The 19,656-nt window shown below is 39.4% G+C and overlaps 1 protein-coding gene across 25 annotated transcripts in view; it reads left to right on the top strand.

Annotated features, from left to right (window-relative positions):
* The window catches only part of CEP70 (centrosomal protein 70), a 99,917-nt gene that overhangs the window by 47,451 nt on the left and 32,810 nt on the right, over positions 1–19,656 (top strand). For 20 of the 25 annotated variants that reach the window (NM_001288967.2, NM_001288965.2, NM_001288964.2 and 17 more), the window contains 4 exons: positions 9,463–9,632; positions 14,240–14,296; positions 17,348–17,435; positions 17,523–17,611. In NM_001288967.2, the coding sequence (NP_001275896.1) occupies positions 9,463–9,632; positions 14,240–14,296; positions 17,348–17,435; positions 17,523–17,611 (404 nt within the window). Of the gene's footprint in view, positions 1–4,020; positions 4,120–9,462; positions 9,892–14,239; positions 14,297–15,238; positions 15,343–15,372; positions 16,209–17,347; positions 17,436–17,522; positions 17,612–19,656 lie in introns of those variants that run through there. The other 5 variants (XM_047449021.1, XM_047449025.1, XM_047449024.1 and 2 more) reach the window with 5 other exon arrangements.

Raw genomic sequence — 19,656 nt, 5'->3', positions numbered from 1 at the left:
GAATAGTATATTAATAAGGGTGATAGTGTTTTTTGTTTTTTTTTATTTGTTGATTTGTTTTGAGATGGAGACTCGCTTTGTCACTCAGGCTGGAATGCAGTGGCATGATCTCGGCTCACTGCAACCTCCACCTGCTGGGTTCAAGCAATTCTTGTGCCTCAGCCTCCTGAGTAGCTGGGACTACAGGCACCCACCACTACGCCCAGCTAAGTTTTGTATTTTCAGTAGAGACGGGGTTTCACCATGTTGGCCAGGCTGATCGCGAACTCCTGACCTCAAGGGATCTGCCCACCTTGGCCTCCCAAAGTGCTGGGATTACAGGCATGAGCCACCGCATCTGGCTATGATAGTGCTTTTTGATAATGAGCTTTAAAAGGATACTGAGGGATAGAAGCTAGAGAATAAGGGGAAACCAGGCAAGTGATATCTTGCTGATGACAAGAGAATAAATTGTTGAAAATACATATTCCTTTGTATAAATCTTAGGGTACATACTGACTCTTTTTTATTGATACATACTAGCTATACATATTTTCTGCTGGGGGAACCCGCCCCCAGTATTTCAACGTAGGTTCTTTCTGTTTTCCCTAAGTGTTGGCTGGTCTGAGAAAAAAGAGAAAGAGTACAAAGAGAGGAATTTTACAGCTGGGCCTCCGGGGATGACATCACATATTGGTAGGTCCATGATGTCCTGAGCCGCAAAACCAGCAGGTTTTTATTAAAGACTTTAAAAGGGGAGGGGGTGTATGAACAGGGAGTAGGTCACGAAGATCACATGCTTTAAAGGGCAATAAAGATCACAAGGCAAAGGGCAAAGCAAAGATCACAAGGCAAAGGGCAAAATTAGTATTACTAATGATGGTCTGTGTTCAGCTGTGCACATATTGTCTTGATAAACATCTTAAACAACAGAAAACAGGGTTTGAGAGCAGAGAACTGATCTGACCTCAAATTTACCAGGCTGGAATTTCCCAATCCTAGTAAGCCTGAGGGTACTGCAGGAGACCAGGGTGTATTTCAGTCCTTATCTCAACCGCATAAGACAGACACTCCCAGAGCGGCCGTTTATAGACCTCCCCTCAGGAATGCATTCCTTCCCCAGGGTATTAATTATTAATATTCCTTGCTGGGAAAAGAATTCAGCGGTATCTCTCCTACTTGTACATCCATTTATAGGCTCTCCGAAAGAAGAAAAATATGGCTCTATTCTGCCTGACCCTGCAGGCAGTCAGACCTTATGGTTGTCTTTCCTTGTTCCCTGAAAATCACTGTTATTCTGTTCTTTTTCAAGGTGCACTGATTTCATATTGTTCAAACACACATGTTTTACAATCAATTTGTACAATAGTGGTCCTGAGGTGACATACATTCTCAGCTTACAAAGATAACAGGATTAAGAGATTAAAGTAAAGACAGGCATAAGAAATTAAAAGAGTATTATTTGGGAACTGATAAATGTCCATGAAATCTTCACAATTTATGTTCAGAGATTGCAGTAAAGACAGGTGTAAGAAATTATAAAAGTATTAATTTTGGGAACTGATAAATGTCCATGAAATCTTCACAATTTATGTTCCTCTGCCCTGGGTCCAGTTGGTCCCACCATTTGGGGTCCCTGACTTCCCGCAACAATTTTCATGCTACATGAGATATTTTGACATATTCATATAATGTGTAATTATCAAATCAAGGTAAATGAGATATCCATCACCTCAAATATTTATATTTTTTTATGTTGGAGACATTAGAATTCTTCTCTTCCAGCTATTTTGAAATATATAATAGATTATTGTTAATATAGTCAACCTACTGTGCTATCATATACTACATCTTATTCCTTCTATGTATCTGTATTGTTGTACCCATTAATCAACCTCTCTTCATTTCCCCCTTCCCTCCTACTTTTTGTAGCCTCTGTTAACCACTGTTTTGCTCTCTCTTTCTGAGATCTGCTTTTTTGGTTTCCACATTTAAGTGAGAATGTGCAATAGTTGTCTTTCAGGGCCTGGCTTATTTCATTTAACGTAATGACCTCCATTTTCATCCATGTAGCTGCATGTGACAGGATTTCATTCCTTTTTATGGCTGAATAATATTCCATTTGTGTACACATACCACATTTTCTTTTTCCAGTCATCCATTGATGGACACCTAGGTTGAATTCATATTTTGGCTGTTGTGAATAGTGCTGCAATAAACAAGAGAGTACAGATACCTCTTCAATATGTTTATATATATAATATGTGTGTATATATATACACACACACACACATACATACATACATACATACATACATACACACTCTGTAGTGGGTTTGCTGGATCATATGGTTTAGTTTTTTGAGGAACCTCCATACTGTTTTCCATAGTAGTTGTACTAGTTTTCATTCCCACCTATAGTGTACCAGGATTCCTCTTTCTCTATATCCTCACCAGTACTTTTTTTTTTTTTGTCTTTTGAGTAATAGCCATTCTAACTGGAGTGAGATGATATCTCATTGTGTTTTCTTCCTTTTTTACTGTCTTCCTTTGTGGTCAAGTGATTTTCTTCTTTTTTGGTTGTTTTAATTTTTTGCTTTTTTTTTAGTGTACCTGTTTTATTTTTGCTTTGTAGTTACCATGAGATTTACAAAAAAACATTTTATAGATATAACAAGTTATTTTTTAAGTTAAGGAGTTTTTAAAAGAGATGGGGATTTTACTGTGTCGGCCAGGTTGGTCTTGAACTCCTGGCCTCAAGCAATTCTCCTGCTTTAGCCTCCGAAAGTGTGGAGATTACAGGCATGAGCCTGTGCCTGGACAACAGGTTACTTTAAATAGATATCTTGCCTTGATCACAAATAATAGAAACAAACAAAGGAAAAACTAAAACATTCTACACTTTTACTCCATCATATTATGACTTTTTGTTGTCTCAGTTTACATCTTTTTACATTATCTATACCTTAACAAGTTGCTGTAGTTATTTTGAGGGGGAGCTTTTTGTTTTTGTTTTTTCTTTTTTTTGAGATAGGGTCTCACTCTGTCACCCAGGTTGGATTGCAGTGGTGCAATCTCAGTTCACTGCAACCTCCACTTCCCAGGCTCAAGCTATCCTCCTGATAGAGGTGGCAACAAATCTGAAGCAGCTGCTGTAAGGAAGCCAGCAGTGGAGGAGGTGCAGGCAGGGCTGCGTGCTCCATGGAGCTGTCAGGGGCTAGGAACAGGTGATCCCAGTGGGGACCCTGTGCTCCCAGGCACAGCTGCATCTGCCCAGCCACAGCTTGGGACTTGGGCATCCCTGCGCTCTTATGGGCCTGGAAAGCCCCCTGCCCCCTCAGGCTTGGAAGTACTTGCTCCCACTGCCTGGCCTCTCTTCACTCCCAGTACCCACTCTGGTGTAGAGTGAAGTTGTGGCTGAGCACGGGTGCTGTCATGACCCAGTCAGGTGTGTGTACACTCGGGGCAGTGCTGACATGCCAGCCCCCTACTGCCTTGGTTCCCCCAAGACTTTGGATGCCGACGAGCGCAGAAGGGAGGCTGGGAGGTTGAGGGCAGCTTGGCATGGGCCTGTGAGTGTCCTGCAGTGCAGACAGCCTGGGCACTGCAGATGGCATGTTGATGGTGGTGAGAGGTAGACAGGTTCCTAGGCAGAAGGGGCAGGTCCTCAGTGAAACCTCACCTTCAAGCCAAGGACAGCCTGAAGCCTGGAGGCCAGGCTGCCAGTGCCAGGTGGAGTCCGCAACCTGGAGTGAGAACTTCCTTCATGCCTTTTGGCCAATTGGATGATGCTTTTTCCAGGCCTTCCCATGGCTGTCCATGGACCAGTCAGCACATACTTCCTCCCTTCTGAGCCCGTAAAAACCCAAGGCTCAGCTAGACTCAGGGACTCATCAACTCATTGGGACTACCTGACTGTGGATAGGAGCTGCCCACTTAGGGTCTCCTCTCTACTGAGAGTTGTTCTGTCACTCAATAAGGCTTCTCCCCACCTTGCTCACCTTCCAGTTGTCTGTGTAACCTCATTCTTCCTGGACACAGGACAAGAACTTGGGACTCACTGAATGGCGGGAGTGAAAGGAGCTGTAACACGTTCCTGGCCGACTCGCCGGGCTGTGCGTGGTGACAAAGACAAACTGCGTGAGTGAAGAGTGGTGACCTTTCTAGGGGCCCAGACCTCAGGATTTCTGAGCCAGAGGTGCTGTCACATCATAGGCCTCCCACCCTCCACTGGCACCTGGTGGCTGCGCCATGCAATGGGAAGCAGCTGTGGGGCCAGGCCAGCCCAGGAGCCACTGGCCAGAGCAGGGTGGTGGGACTGAAACAGCTGTAACACAAATGGGCTGAAACATGTGCCACCTGAAACACATCCCCCGACTTGCTGCGCTGCGGGTGACAAGGAGAGAAGAGTTGTGACTCTTCTGGGATCCCAAACCTCAGGGCTCCCAGAGCCAGGGCTCTGACACACTCTAACACCCTCTTTGGGCCTCTGTGGTTCCTGGCATCTCTGAGCTTTCAGGCGCCCCTGCATTCCCCTTGTCCAGGCATTGGTGCCCACAGCGGAAGCTGCTTGCAGTACATCTGGTCCAGCCACAGTCTCACATGGAGCCAGTGCCTGTGCTGGTGGCTGGAGCTGCCTGCCTCACTGCAACAGCCAGTGTGCCTGGCTGTGCACATAGCCAGACCCCACATTTGCTAACTCACACACCCCTCACTGCTCTGCACCTGGCTTGCCCTTAGCAGGCATGGGGTCTGGGCTGGTAGCACAAGCTGAGTGCAGCCTGCCAGGCCGAGTGGGCAGAATAAGCCCAGCAGGTGTGAGCAAAACTCAAGCAGAGGTACCACTGGCCACAGAGGTTTCTGGCTGGTGAAGCGACACACTGAGGATCTTGTGATGCTCCCACCTCAGCCTCTCAAGTAGCTGGGATCATAGGTGCATGCTACGACACTCAGCTAACTTTTTGTATTTTTGGTAGAGATGGGGCTTTGCCATATTGCCCTGGCTGGTCTCAAATTCCTGAGCTCAAGCAATCTGCCTGCCTCTGCCTCCCAAAGTGCTGGGATTATAGGCATGAGCCACTGTGCCTAGCCTACTGTTTTAAGTAGATTTGTCTTTTAGTATTCATACTAGAGATATGACTGGATTACACACCACAATTATATTATTAGAGTATTCTGCGTTTGTCTGTATATTCACTTTTACCAATGGGTTTTATACCTTCAAATGTTTTTTTGTTTTTGCATGTGGTGTCCTTCTCTTTCATAGTGAAGAACTCCCTTTAGCATTTCTTATGAGTCCCTTTCAAGTGTTTGCTTGTCCTGGTAAAGGCTTTATCTCCTTTGTATTTCAAAGATAGCTTTGCTGAGAATAATATTCTTGGTTGACAGGTTTTTTTTTTTCTTTTTCTTTTTCTTTTTCTTTTTCTTTCAGCACCACGTTGAATATGTTATTTCACTCCCTCCTGGCCAATATGCTTTCTGCTGAGGATTCTATTGCCAGATAAATCAGAGCTCCTTTATATTTTGTTTTCTTCTTTTCTCTTGATGCTTTTAGGATCTTCTCTTTGTGCTTGACTTTGAGAATGTACTTATTTATTAAACTTTTAGATTTGGGTAAATGTGAAGGTTTGTTACGTAGGTAAACTTGTTTCATTGGGGTTTGTTATACAGATTATTTCATCACCCAGGCATTAAGCCCAGTACCCAATAGTTATCTTTTCTCCTTCTCTTCCTTCTCCCACCCTCCACCCCAGTGTCTGTTGTTACCTTCTTTGTGTTCATAAGTTCTCATCATTTAGCTCCCACTTATAAGTGAGAACAAGTAGTATTTGGTTTTCTGTTCTGCATTAGTTTGCTAAGGATAATGCCGTTCAGCTCCATCCATGTTCTCGCAAAAGACATGATCTTGTTCTTTTTTATGGCTATGTAGTATTCTATGGTGTATATGTACCACATTTTCTTTATCCAGTCTACCATTGATGAGTATTTCAGTTGATTCCATGTTTTTGCTGTTGTGAATAGTGCTGCAGTGAACATTCATGCATGTTTCTTTATGGTAGAATGATTTGTATTCCTCTGGGTATATACCCAATAATGAGATTGCTGGGTCAAATGGTAGTTCTGCTTTTAGCTCTTTGAGGAATTGCCATACTGCTTTCCACAATGGTTAAAATAATTTACATTCCCATCAACAGTGTATAAGTGTTCCCTTTCCTCTGCAACCTTGCCTTGCCTTATTTTTTGACTTTTTAATAATAGCTTTCTGACTGGTGTGAGATGGTATCTCATTGTGGTTTTGATTTGCATTTCTCTAATGATCAGTGATATTGAGCTTTTTTTTTTTTTTTTTTACATAGTCTTGCTCTGTTGCCCAGGCTGGAGTGCAGTGGTGTGGTCTCGGCTCACTGCAACCTCCAGGTTCAAGCGATTCCCCTCCTTCAGCCTCCTGAGTAGCTGGGACTACAGGCATGCGCCACCACATCTGAATAATTTACTTTTAGTAGAGAGTGGGTTTCACCATGTTGGCCGGGCTGGTCTCGAACTCCTGGCCTCAGGTGATCCACTTGCCTCAGCCTCCCAAAGTGTTGGGATTACAGGCATGAGCCACCGCGCCTGGCCTAAGCTTTTTTTTTTAATATGCTTGTTGGCTGCATGTATAATCTTCTTTTGAAAAGTGTCTATTCTTGTCCTTTGCCGACTTCTTAATGAATTTGTTTTTCTCTTCTAAATTTAGTTCCTTATAGATGCTGGCCGTTAGACCTTTGTCGGATGCATAGTTTCAGATGTCTCCTCCCATTCTGTAGGTTTTCTATTTACTTTGTTACTTTTGCTATGCAGAAGCTCTTAAGTTTAATTAGATCTCATTTGTCAATTTTTGCTTCTGTTGCAATTGCTTTTGGTGTCTTTGTCATGAAATCTTTACTCATTCCTATGTCCAGTATGGTATTGCCTAGGTGGGAATTTATTATATGCCTTGGGGTAGGCTTATTTGAATTGAATCTGTTTGGTGATCTCTGACCTTCCTGTTCATGGATGTTTATATCTTTGTGTAAATTTGGATACTTTTCTGTTACTATTTCTTTGAATAAGTTTTCTACCCCTTGCTCTTTCTCAACTCCTTCTTGAAGGCCAATGATTCTTAGATTTGCTCTTTTGAGGTAATTTTCTATATTTTGTAGGTATTCTTTTTTCTTTTTTCTTCTCTGTTTATATTCAAGTAGCCTGTCTTCAGGCTCACTGATTCTTTCCTCTGCTTGATCCAGTCTGCTATTAAAAGCCTCTAATGCATTTTTCAGTTCAGGGAATGTATTTCTCAGTCCCAGGATTTCTGTTTGTTTTTTTAAAAGTTATTATTTCAATACCTTTTTAAAATTTCACTGATAGATTTCTGAATTGATTCCCTGTGTTATATTGGAGTTCACTGAGTTTTTGAATCCTGGGCAGACAGGGATTAGGAAGAAGCAATGATTAAGGAATATAGAGATATAACATGAAAATTCTTTAACAATGATAAAAAGGGCTGGGCATGGTGGCTCACACCTGTAATCCCAGCACTTTCGGAGGCCAAGGCAGGAGGATCACTTGAGGTCAGACCAGCCTGCCCAACATGGTGAAACCTTGTCTCTACTAAAAATACAAAAACTATCCAGGTGTGATGGTACGCAACTATCCAGGTGTGATGGTAATCCTAGCAACTCGGGTGAGGCAGGAGAATCACTTGAACCCAGGACGTGGAAGTTGCAGTAAGCTGAGATCATGCCACTGTACTCCAGCCTGGGCGACAGTGAGACTCTGTCTCAAACAAACAAACGAAAACAATGATAAAAGAGATTTAACATCACTGAAAGTTGTAAGGAAGTAAACCCTAAACCTCCACCCCTCCATTAAAGCAATGATTATAAGACTATACTTTGAACAATTATATGACAACAGATTAGCTAACCTAGATGAAATGGACATATTTCTAGCAACACAGAAATTGCCAAAACTGGCTCAAGAAGAAGTAAAAAACTTTAGTAGATGTGTAACAATGGATTATGTCAATAATCAAAACCTCTGAACAAATAAAGGCCCAGAACCAGATGACTTAAAAAAAAAGAAAAAGAATAAGGATTCTTGATCTGAAGAATCTCACCACACTGTCTCGTTAGGGTCAGTCACTGGCTCCTTTTTCCATCTGTGGGGGTCATGGTTCTTTGTTAGCTGTTGTTTCTTGTGGACATATATCTATGTCTTCTCATTGAAGGATTAGTTATTTCAGTTTTCACTGTCTGGCTTGTTTGGGTTTTTCTTGGATATGTTTACATAGAGGTTCTTTACAATTCACCTGTTGAATTTCCTTTATGCTAGGTCACTGCTTCCTTCTTGGTACTAGATGGTGGCTCATGTCCAGGTTTGCTACAGCTCTGGCAAGCATTCAGAGTGCTGATGGTACTAGGTTGGGGAGATCCCAAATGGGATACCCCAGCTGTGTGGAAAAGCTGGCTAGGGTTTCATACCCAGCGAACCTGTAGAGTGTACCTCCTACAGTGTGGTGCTGCTGAACAGCCACTCTGATTTAGCATCTTCTTTGGCTGAGATACCAAGCAGATTTTGCAGGCTGGGGTTGCTGCTATTCCCACCTTCCATCTTTGTCTTTGGTTGCTCTCAGTTTTTCTTGCTATAGACACTTGTGATGCTTTCTGTGGGTTGAGGCAGGAACAGTTCTCCTGCAAGGAACCCAAGATAGTGGGGAAGTTGGTCTTGATCTCACTTTTTCCAGTGTAGAAACTGAGTCTGGGGAAAATTTTCCACAGGCAATTCCTTGCAGATTAGGGGAGAGGCATCACAGTTACAGAAGTCCGATTCTCTTACCATCTGCTTGAAATTTTTTCACTTCTTTGTGGTCCCGGGGATTGTCCCATCCTCAGATTTGAGTTCTGGGATATTGCTGGTAATAATCTTGGCATTGGATATTGGTTTTTGGTTTTCTGTTGGGGGAAGTGAAGCCAGATTGCTTCAACTTTGCCATTTTGGTGATGTCTTTCTCCCTGATTATTTCTTGATGATAATTTCCTGGTTATGGACTTACTGTGAGTTTGCAGTCACCCACATTGCATGAATGCCTAAGTTGACTACACCATTTGCAATCCCCAATTAATATTGATTCTTTCCTGATTATTGTTTTAATGTAAACTTAAACATAAAATTATACCAGTTTTATGGAAATTCTTGAGTTCCTTTACTTGGTAAGAAATGTCTTGAATGCACGCAATTATGAACTGTAGTTTCCCCATTTTATAGCTATTTGACTTATATTTTTTCAGGTTTATGATATATTAATGTTCCTGGAGCTTATACTCATTTAAAAACAGCCTCAATACTGAAGTTCTTGAATGAAACAGCTCAGTAGAAACTATGAAGATGCCTTTGTGTACAATACTGTTAGGATAGCATGTCCTAGATGTACATATCATAATCATGTTTTTAAAAAATATCTTATAGGTGAAGTGCCAGCATTATAAGAAAAAACGAACGGAGCAAGAAGAAACTATTGCTTCTTTGCAAATGGAAGTCTGTAGATTAAAAAAGGAGGAAGAAGATCGCATTGTCACTCAAAACAGAGTGTTTGCCTATCTGTGCAAAAGAGTTCCTCATACCGTCTTGGATAGACAGTAATTTTGCTACATAAATTGATATGTAGCTAGATTCATTGTTGTGTTTGTTTGTTTGTTTTACCTGATATTATCTTGGGGGTGGTTATAACTCTTATAAACTAGAAAAGCCTCTCTCTCCTCCTCTTCTGCATTGTTTTTCCCTGCTCATCCTGTTCTTTTTTTTTTTTTTTTTTGTTCTAGAGGTCCTTTGAAGAATGGAATTGAACATTTACTAAAAATAACACTAAACTTTTAAATAAATTCATAATTAATCAGACATTTCTCAAAATAACTGATCCTTTTAGTGAAGAATACTATTGAGAGATCGCTGTATGGGTTTTGGGGTTGCTTAGTTTTATTATGTTATTGATTTTAGGAGTTTTTAGTGGAAAGAACCAGGGACTATATATTTTGGAGGGAAAAAAAAATCATCATTGATTTTTTTTTTTAACCTAGCTGAAGTTAAGATAGTATTTTTATTTAAATTCTGATTTTACATTTGTAACTGTTGTCTTTCCTACTGAAAATCATTCTTAAGAACAATATTATAATTATTTGCTATATCCTATAATACATAAAAATAGTTTCAAAATAATAAAACTAGAATTACTAACAATAAGCCTACTGAATGAGATTTAAATTTCTGGGCAGCTTTCTTTGATATTAATATATTCCACTATGTATGCAGTCAAGATGTATATTTCTAAAATATCTTGAAATACTTGTTTCTCTGTGTGTTTGCGTCACCAAATTATAATGCAGTTAGGTTTGTTTCAATTTCTTTTCAATTTTCAGGGATTGCTTTTTAAATTTTTACTTTTGAATGTGTAAACATTTATGTAATTGCAAAATCAAAACTATTCATTATTTATATTCAGAGAAGTTGTGTTTTCATTCCTGTCCCCTTTATTCTATCCTATCCTTACCTCCCCTATAGGTAATTGATTTTAAATGTTTAGAGTTATTTTTAGCAATATAAGTAGTATGGATATTATATACATATTCTCTCTTATGTACTAGCACCTTCTTTTTTTCTCTTAACAGTTTAAACTGATTGCATTTTAAGCGGTATTATATGTTTACCTAGTAGGACTGGAAATCTTGAATAATTAGATGTTTCTATTTTACAATAAAAATAAATGAGGTCAGATATAAAGTAAAAACAAGTTAAAACTATAGATTTTTTGATAATTATTTGAGAGATAATGCACATATATACACATATATAATTTTCATCCTCTTGAAGGAAAAGTAACGACAAACACATAAAAAAACATAAAAATGTTAGTGAGAGGTGTGAATAAATAGAAAAGGGAGGCTAGGTAAGAAAAATAGGAGAGGTAAGGAAGAACAAAAAGGAGAGAGGTGAGGGAGAGAGAACTACAGTGGGAAGAAGAAGAGAGAAATTGGAAGGGAAGAATGAAAAAACAAAAAACAGTTAAGATGACTGGGTAAGAGGGTGAGAGAAGCACTGAGAGAACTTGCAATGTACCAGATGAAGTCAGGCTAATTCAGGTATGAATTTGTCCAGTGGGCCAGAGATTTTCCACTGTTTGATTTTTGTCAATGCAAACTTTCAGTTTGAGACACTGAAATGAAAAATTGTGAATTAAACCTATTGGAAATACATGAGTTGTAGCCACTACAGATATTATTAAAAGTTACACGGGTACTGGGCTAAGTAATAGGGCACACACAGATGAGGAAAGCCATGATTCCTGCATTCAGTGACCTGGTAGTCTAGTTGGGTAGATAGACATATATGCATGTAAGTAAAATATAAAGCAGATAGTGGTATGTACTATAAGGTGGGGCAGATAGGATACTAAGTGGGTGTGACATAGGGAGAAATTAGTGAAAGGTAAGAATGACTACATAGGCTTCATGAATGAGTTATCTTTTTAGCTGGACTACTAGGAACTATAGAATATTAATAGGAAGAGGTGAGAGAAAGGATGTTTCAATTAGAGAAATATGATAACAGGAAAAGTGAATGTGTTTGGGACGTCAAGAGTCCAAGAGGTCTGGAACATAGGATACATGAGATTCTGGGAAGAGTCTTAAGAGACAATATGACAATATGGAAAGTGTGCTGTAACTTTGAGAGACTTAAATTGGCCGAAGAGTTTGAGTTCTACTTTCTGTGTGGCAGGGAACATACCCAAAGATTCCTGAGCAAGGAGATTAAACCCAGAGACAGAAAGACAAGTTAGGAATCGGTTGTAGTAGTAGAGGGCTAATGAAGGTCTTAACTAGGACCAAAAAAAAGGGAGAGACACTGCAAAGATGGATAGGAGTTGTCCAGACGAATTGGCTATAGATGTTGAAAGGAGTGGAGGAGTCAAAGATGGCCAGTTTTTAAACTACATTTGAAGGAACGGGGAAGAAACCGATGAATTCATTTATGGATATATACTTAGGCACCTTCAGTCATCCAAGTAGACATATCAGGCCTGTTGTTAAAAGGGCCAAACTCCAGAGAACTTCCAAAGTCCATATAGAGAAAGAAGAGGCAGAAGAGGAATTGTGTTTGGGTATCATGATAACCAAGGAACAAAAGTGTTTCAAGGAGAGGGTGATCGGCAGTGTTGCATGCTTCCTCATTGGTTAACTTGTTTACTTTCCCACTATTTTATTTGCTCAGAATTCCCAGTACTTAACATGTAATAAGTCCTCCCTAAAACTTTATTGAAGATAATTGGTTACAATCACTCAGAATGAATGAAGTTTTTTTATGAAGGAAAATATTAGAAATAGAATCATAGCATAAGGGGGAAGTAGGTCAAGAGGATTTGTGCAGGATATAAAGATTAAAGCATATTTTCAGGATAATGTGAAAGCTGGTATATGTTAAGATGCGGAAGGCTTGAAGAGAAAAAGAGTAATTGGGGAAGGGTTGAAGAGAAAAAGAGTAATCTAGAAAGTTGTGACATTAAGAGCACAATTGGCTGAATTAGTTCTGAAGAGGGGGATGGGTTGGTAATATTTTCCCAAGATAGGAGGGAAACAGTATATTGTTCGTTTAAAAAGAATAACACATGAAAGCATAGTATTATTTTGTTTTTCTCTCATTTTTTAAATCACAAAAGCAATAAATGTTTATAAAAATTCAGGCCGGGCGCAGTGGCTTACGCCTGTAATCCCAGCACTTTGGGAGGCCGAGGCGGGCGGATCACGAGGTCAGGAGATCGAGACCATCCTGGCTAACACGGTGAAACCCCGTCTCTACTAAAAATACAAAAAATTAGCTGGGCGTGGTGGCAGGCGCCTGTAGTCCCAGCTACTCGGGAGGCTGAGGCAGGAGAATGGGGTGAACCTGGAAGGTGGAGCTTACAGTGAGCCAGGATGACGCCACTGCACTCCAGCCTGGGCGACAGCATGACTCCATCTCAAAAAACAAACAAACAAAAAAAAACAAAAAATAAAAATTCAAACAATATGAAAGTGTATATGGTAAAATGTAACAAATCTGCTTGCTTTCCTAATCCCCACATCCCAGAAATAACCTCCTCTCCTAACAATTTGGTGTGTGTCCTTCCTACTGTTTCTCAAAATGAGTGCTGTTGGCATTTTGAGTGAGACAGTTCTTCTTTGTGTATTGTTGTGTTGTTCACCGATGAATTTTTAGCATTCTGCCCCCTCTCCAACTAGTCAATATGGCAACATTGCCCCTTCATACACCCGCTAGCTTACAATATTATTCTCTGGTTAAGAACCCACAGAGTTCTTTTTCAGTATATATACATATTCACATCTAACTTTTTTCTTTTCTTTTTAGACAAAAGTAAAAAATATACATTTGATTATGCAACATTAATTTTTTCCATCATCATTCCTTGTTAAGGACATACAAAGTTACATTATTTTTTCTACTTCTCCATTATTTTCTTTTTCTTTCTTTTTTTTTTTTCTTTTTGAGATGGAGTCTTGCTCTGTCACCAGGCTGTAGTGCAGTGGTGCGCTCTTGACTCACTGCAAGCTCCGCCTCCCGGGTTCAAGTGATTCTCCTGCCTCAGCCTCCCGAGTAGCTGGGACTACAGGCACTCGCCACGACGCCCAGCTAATTTTTTGTATTTTTAGTAGAGATGGGGTTTCACCATGTTGGCCAGGATAGTCTCGAACTGCTGACCTTGTGATCCGCCTGCCTTGGCCTCCCAAAGTGCTGGGATTACAGGCTTGAGCCACTGCACCCAGCCCATTATTTTCTGTAGTATGGATGTGCCATTATTTATTTAACCTTTCTCCTGATGGAGAGTTAAATTATTTCTGGCTTTTCACTCTTAAATAATGGTGCAGTGAACAACTTTGTTCATATTGAGTTGCATCCTTTGACTTATTTCTGTGGGAGATATTGCTAGAGGTAGAATTGTTGGGACAAGGAGGATATGCATTTAATATGTTGAGATATAATGTTTATAGTTATTTTTAAATCTATACTTTGAAATTAATATAACATATGACTTAGTATAGTATTTGCTTTTTGGTAAGAATCACTTAAATTTTTTAAAGCCTGCCAGATAATCTGTACTTACTTTTACACTGTAATTTGAAATTATGTGGTGAAACTAGTAGATGCTGTAATACCATACCGCATTTTGAAAATAATTCAATATTCTGTTTTCTAGGTTGCTTTGTCTAATTGATTACTATGAATCTAAAATTAGAAAAATTCATACACAAAGGTACGAGTAATCCTGTATTACAGTTTTTAAAGGTTTTAATCCAGTATTCACACCAGAAGTTTCTGTAGCTTTTGAAACTTTAATATACTATGGAAATCCACCTAATATGTCACTGTGAAGTTCTTTTTTATAAAGAACTTGAAGACTGTATTTTACAACTTAAGTCAAGATGTATTGTTGTATTTATGTTAAATTATGTATACTTAATTATCACCAAAGTATTGGTCATAGCAGAAATGGTATTTCCCTTTATTTTCTTGAAGTATTATAATTTTTTCTACTGATATGATCTAGCCCCTGGGTAGTTACCAAGTATATCCGCAAAGTGCATAGAATTAGATTGGCTGCCTATCAAAGTGTAACCTAATTAGTATGCAGATTTATGTGAGATAAAGATAAAATGTCAGTGAAAAATCAAGCTTATAGATTAAAACACACTTATCACCTGATTAAATAAGCATAGAGATAAATGGTCTTTGGCTAAACTAAAATAGCTGAAGGATATCTAAGATATAATCTAAAATGCTTTAATGTAAGGTCACTAAAACAGTAGCTAATCTTTTTATTATTTATAGATGGAACAGTTCTTTTAACAAATATTTATTTGAGCACCTATTTTGTACCATGTTCTAAGTAATTAGGATCCCATAATAAAGCAGATAAATTCTTCACTTTTATGAAGCGTATGCTCTAGTATTCTTGCCCCAAGAATAGTGACTTTCCAAAATCTTGGAGAGAATAATGGCAGAGCTCTGTGGGTTGCTGGTTGCTGATTATCTGTAGTACTGTGGGGACTCCAAAAAAAAAAAAAAAAAGGAAAAGAAGAAGGAAGGAAGGGAAGAAGAGAGCAACTAATTAAAAAGCAACTTCTTGCTTTATGTTCTTTTCAGAAAGCAGCATTTTATCAAGTAGCTTCAGGGACCTTCTGACTTCCAAATGAAACTGTCGTTTAGATGGTGGAGATTCTACAAAGATAGGACAACTACTCAACTCGGCTGTTGTAGCACAAAATCAGCCACAGATAATATGTAAATGAATTGGCACAGGTGTGTTCCAATAAAAATAGTTACAAAACCAACAGCCTGCTGAATATAGCCTGCAGACAGCAGTTTGCTGACCCCTGATCTAGATGATGAAGAGGGGATTTGGGGTTTTTAGTAAGAGTAGAAAAGATTTAACATAACATATCCATCAGGAAATCTTTTGTGTAGAATATGATGTGAGAGGTACTTGTAGAGTTCTGCAAACGGGGTTCTCTGACTAAAGATGATAAAAAGGATTGAGGCCATTGGAGTGGTGGTATTGAATTTAGTTGTCATGAATTTGTAATGAAAATCTGGGGCTGAGGAATGAGTGACTTGGAAAAGAATCACTTTTTAACTTAAAAAGCTTTTCATCAATTGTCTAGCTGAAGTAAAGTATTTTGGCCTATACAAATTATCCTTGGGTCAGATATTTGGATTGGATGTCTTATTGAGGGAAGTGGAGGATAGGAAGAAAATAGGAGATACATTAATAAATAATATTCTACAAATGAGAAAATTTGCAGCAATAAAAAGAGTCTCTCTCCTAAGGAGGGAGTTTTTCGGGATTCATTGACTGAGTGGAGTTTATATTATAAACTCAGTCTCCTTTCTAAGAGTAAGTACTAACTTGAAAGTGAGATTCTGGCAATTTCAGGATAGATTTTGAGATCTACAAATAGGATATAGGTATCATCTAAAGAAGTAGGAGTACTGTAACAGGAGGATGTAACAATTCATTGACAAGTATTACATTAGTAAAGAAGATGAAAGAGAAGACGGGGGAAGCCAGGCCAAGATTTGGAGGCCTAAGTAGGATAAACAGGAAGCAGAGGAGAAGAGCTGTGACCCTGTAGAACTGAAGCAGCAAGACCAAAGGAAGAAGACAGGTGGGACATGGGCCTCTCGCAGTGGCAAAAGCTTCTCTGCTTGTCCATTTTTTTAAGGCCAGTGTTGTCCGAAGTTTTTTGTTGTTGTTGTTGTTTTTATCATCAGACTATATGCACATGTGTAAAATAAACACATTGGGAATAAATCATTTGAACTGAATCAATCCATTGATACTTACTAGACTGGTGATATGTTTATGTGTAATACTAGAAATCATGCATGTACCCAGTGCACACTAGGCTACAATAGTAATACTTTATGTGATACAATAGTTAAAGTGAAATGTAGTCCTAAACAATAAAGTTGTGTTTAACAGAAAAGTATTTTATACTACTTCAATTTTTAAATTTAAGATTTAATGAAATTAAAAGTTTAGTTCCTTGGTGGCATTACCCGTATTTCAAGTGTTAAGCGGTAACCACTAGCTCATGTAGCTATTGGTTACCATATAGGACATCACAGTGATAGTTAATCAAGATTGCTAAAAATAATCATACTTATTTGCTAGCACTTTGCATTTCACAGAGTCCTTCAGTATCTTTCATTTGCTTTTTACACCAGTCCTGTAAAGTAGATGTGACAGATACTATTTTACAGATGAGAAAATAAATTCTGAGAGATTGACTTATTCAAATAATACAACTAGTTAGTGGTGTTATCAAGGCTTGAACCAAGACTATTAAATCTGTTGCTTTTTCCACTTATGATCTACATTTTCTTCATATAGGTTTTTTGGTGACCTAAATGTACTAGAAGGAAAAAATAGTATGTGGAGAATGCATTTTTTAAAAGAACATGGATGTTCCACCTATGTTTCGTTTGTTTATTCAGCAGTGCTTTTTCACCTCCTCTTATATTCCATACTTTTTCTAGGCAGTGAGATACAGTGGTGAATAAGACAAAGTTCTGGTCCTCATGGATCATATATTCTAAGTAAAAAGAGAGTAAATGGATACTGTATGTACTATAATATTAGATAGTAGTAGTGTTCTAATACCATTCTCTATGAGAACAAGTAGGAAATGTGGATTAATTTTAATTCATGTTTAGATTATTAAACCCTCATTACATTGGTTTAATTAGTTTTTTTCTTTGAAGATAGATTTTTCATAAGTATACTGCATACATATTTTCATAGGCAATATAAAGAAGATGAAAGTCAGTCAGAAGAAGAAAACGACTACAGAAATCTGGATGCCTCACCAACTTATAAAGGCCTTTTAATGGTATGGGGACTGCATAACTAATAAATACTTTTTAATAAACTAAGTAATCTAAGAAAGTTAATTATTTTTCTATGAAATGTGTTGCAGTCATTACAGAATCAACTCAAGGAATCAAAATCTAAGATTGATGCACTTTCAAGTGAAAAGCTGAACCTCCAAAAAGATTTGGAAACCAGGTGAGAGAAACTTAATTTTTTTTTTTTTTTTCCTGAGACAGGGTCTCACTCTGTCACTCAGGCCAAGTGCAGTGGTGTGATCACGTCTCACCGCAGCCTTGACCTCCAGGGCTCAAGCAATCTTTCCACTTCAGCCTCTTAAGTAGCTGGGGCTATAGGTGCAAGCCACCACACCCAGCTAATTTTAAAAATTATTTATTTTTAACTGAGACAGAGTCTTACTCTGTCACCCAGGCTGGAGTGCAGTGGCGCGATCTCAGCTCACTGCAACCTCTGTCTCCCAGGTTCAAGCGATTCTTCTGCCTCAGCCTCCCGAGTAGCTGGGATTACAGGTGCACACCACGACGGCTGGCTATTTTGTGTATTTTTAGTAGGATGAGGTTTTGCCATGTTTGTCAGGCTGGTCTCAGACTTCTGACCTCAAGTGATCCTTTCTCCTTGGCCTCCCCAAAGTGCTGGGATTACAGGTATGAGCCACCATCCTCAGCCTCTAATTTTTTAATTTTTTGTTTGGTAGAGATGGGGTCTCCTTGTGTTGCCTAGGCTGGTCTTGAACTCCTAGGCCCAGTGCCAGAATTCCCAAAGTACTGGAATTACAGGCATGAGCCACTGCATCCGGCCAATTTTTCTTCATCCTTTGAAAAGTAAACATACTGGAATTTGGAATATTAAATGCACCATTCTAGCTCCTTTGCTCTAAAGCTAATCATGAGTACATAATATTCTTATACTCACTTTAGTCAGTTCTTTCCCGTGATAACTTATGAAAGGAACAAGAGCACATGGGTAGGCAAGGGAAATGAGAAAATAGGAGTCCACAGTGAAGAAGACAAAACTAGCTAAGAACTTCAAATAAGCTGGGCATAGTGGCTTTCACCTGTAATCTCAGCACTTCAGGAGGCTGAGGCAGGTGGATTGCTTGAGGCAGGAATTCGAGACCAGCATGGGCAACATGGCAAAACCCCTTCTCTACAAAAAATATAAAAATTAGCTGGGTGTGGTGGTCTGTGGCTGTAGTCCCAGCTACTCCGAAGACTGAGGTGGAAGGATCACTTGACCCCAGGAAGTCAGGGCTGCAGTGAGCCATGATTGTGTCACTGTACTCCAGCCTGTGTGACAGAGCGAGACCCTGTGTCAAAAAAAAAAAAAAAAACTTCAAATAGATTCAGTCTTTTTTTTTTTTTTGCTTTTAAAAAATAGCTTTATTGAGTTACAATTGATGTACAGTACACTGCATATATGTAAGGTACACAATTTATTGAATTTTGATATGTGTATACACCTATGAAACAGTTATAATCCAGATAATCACCCTAACAATCACAGTCAAGATAATCGCCTTGGAGGCTAGGTGCAGTGGCTCATACCTATAATACCAGCACTTTGGGAAGCCCAGGTAGGAGGATTGTTTGAGGCCAGGAGTTCGAGACCAGCCTGAGCAACATGTGAGACCTCATCTCTACAAATAATTTTAGCCCATTGAGATTTTTTTTTTTTTTTTTTTGAGACGGAGTCTTGCTCTGTCGCCCAGGCTGGAGTGCTGTGGCACGATGTTGGGTCACTGCAGCCTCTGCCTCCCGGGCTCAAGTGATTTCTTCTGCCTCAGCCTCCCGAGTAGCTGGGACTACAGGCGCCCATCACCACGCCCGGCTAATTTTTTGTATTTTTAGTAGAGATGGGGTTTCACCATGTTAGCCAGGATGGTCTCGATCTCCTGACCTCGTGATCCGCCCGCCTCGGCCTCCCAAAGTGTTAATTACAAGCGTGAGCCACCGTGCCCGGCCTACAAATAATTTTAAAAATTAGCCAGGCCTGCGCAAGGATGACACGCAAATTCATGAAGCGTTCCATATTAAAAAAAAAAAAAAATTAGCCAGGCATGGTAGCGTACTCCTGCAGTCCCAGCTACTAAGGAGGCTGAGGTGAGATCACTTGAGCCCAGGAGGTCAAGGCTGCAGTGAGCTGTGATCACACCACCACACTCCAACCTGGGCAACAGAGACTCTGTCTCTTAAAACAAAACAAAACAAAAAACTCTAAAAGTT

The sequence above is a fragment of the Homo sapiens genome, chromosome 3 (genome assembly GCF_000001405.40).
Source record: "Homo sapiens chromosome 3, GRCh38.p14 Primary Assembly".
NCBI classification, from domain to species: domain Eukaryota; kingdom Metazoa; phylum Chordata; class Mammalia; order Primates; family Hominidae; genus Homo; species Homo sapiens.
Note: the sequence above shows the minus strand (reverse complement) of the source record. Positions and strands in the feature narration are given on the sequence as shown.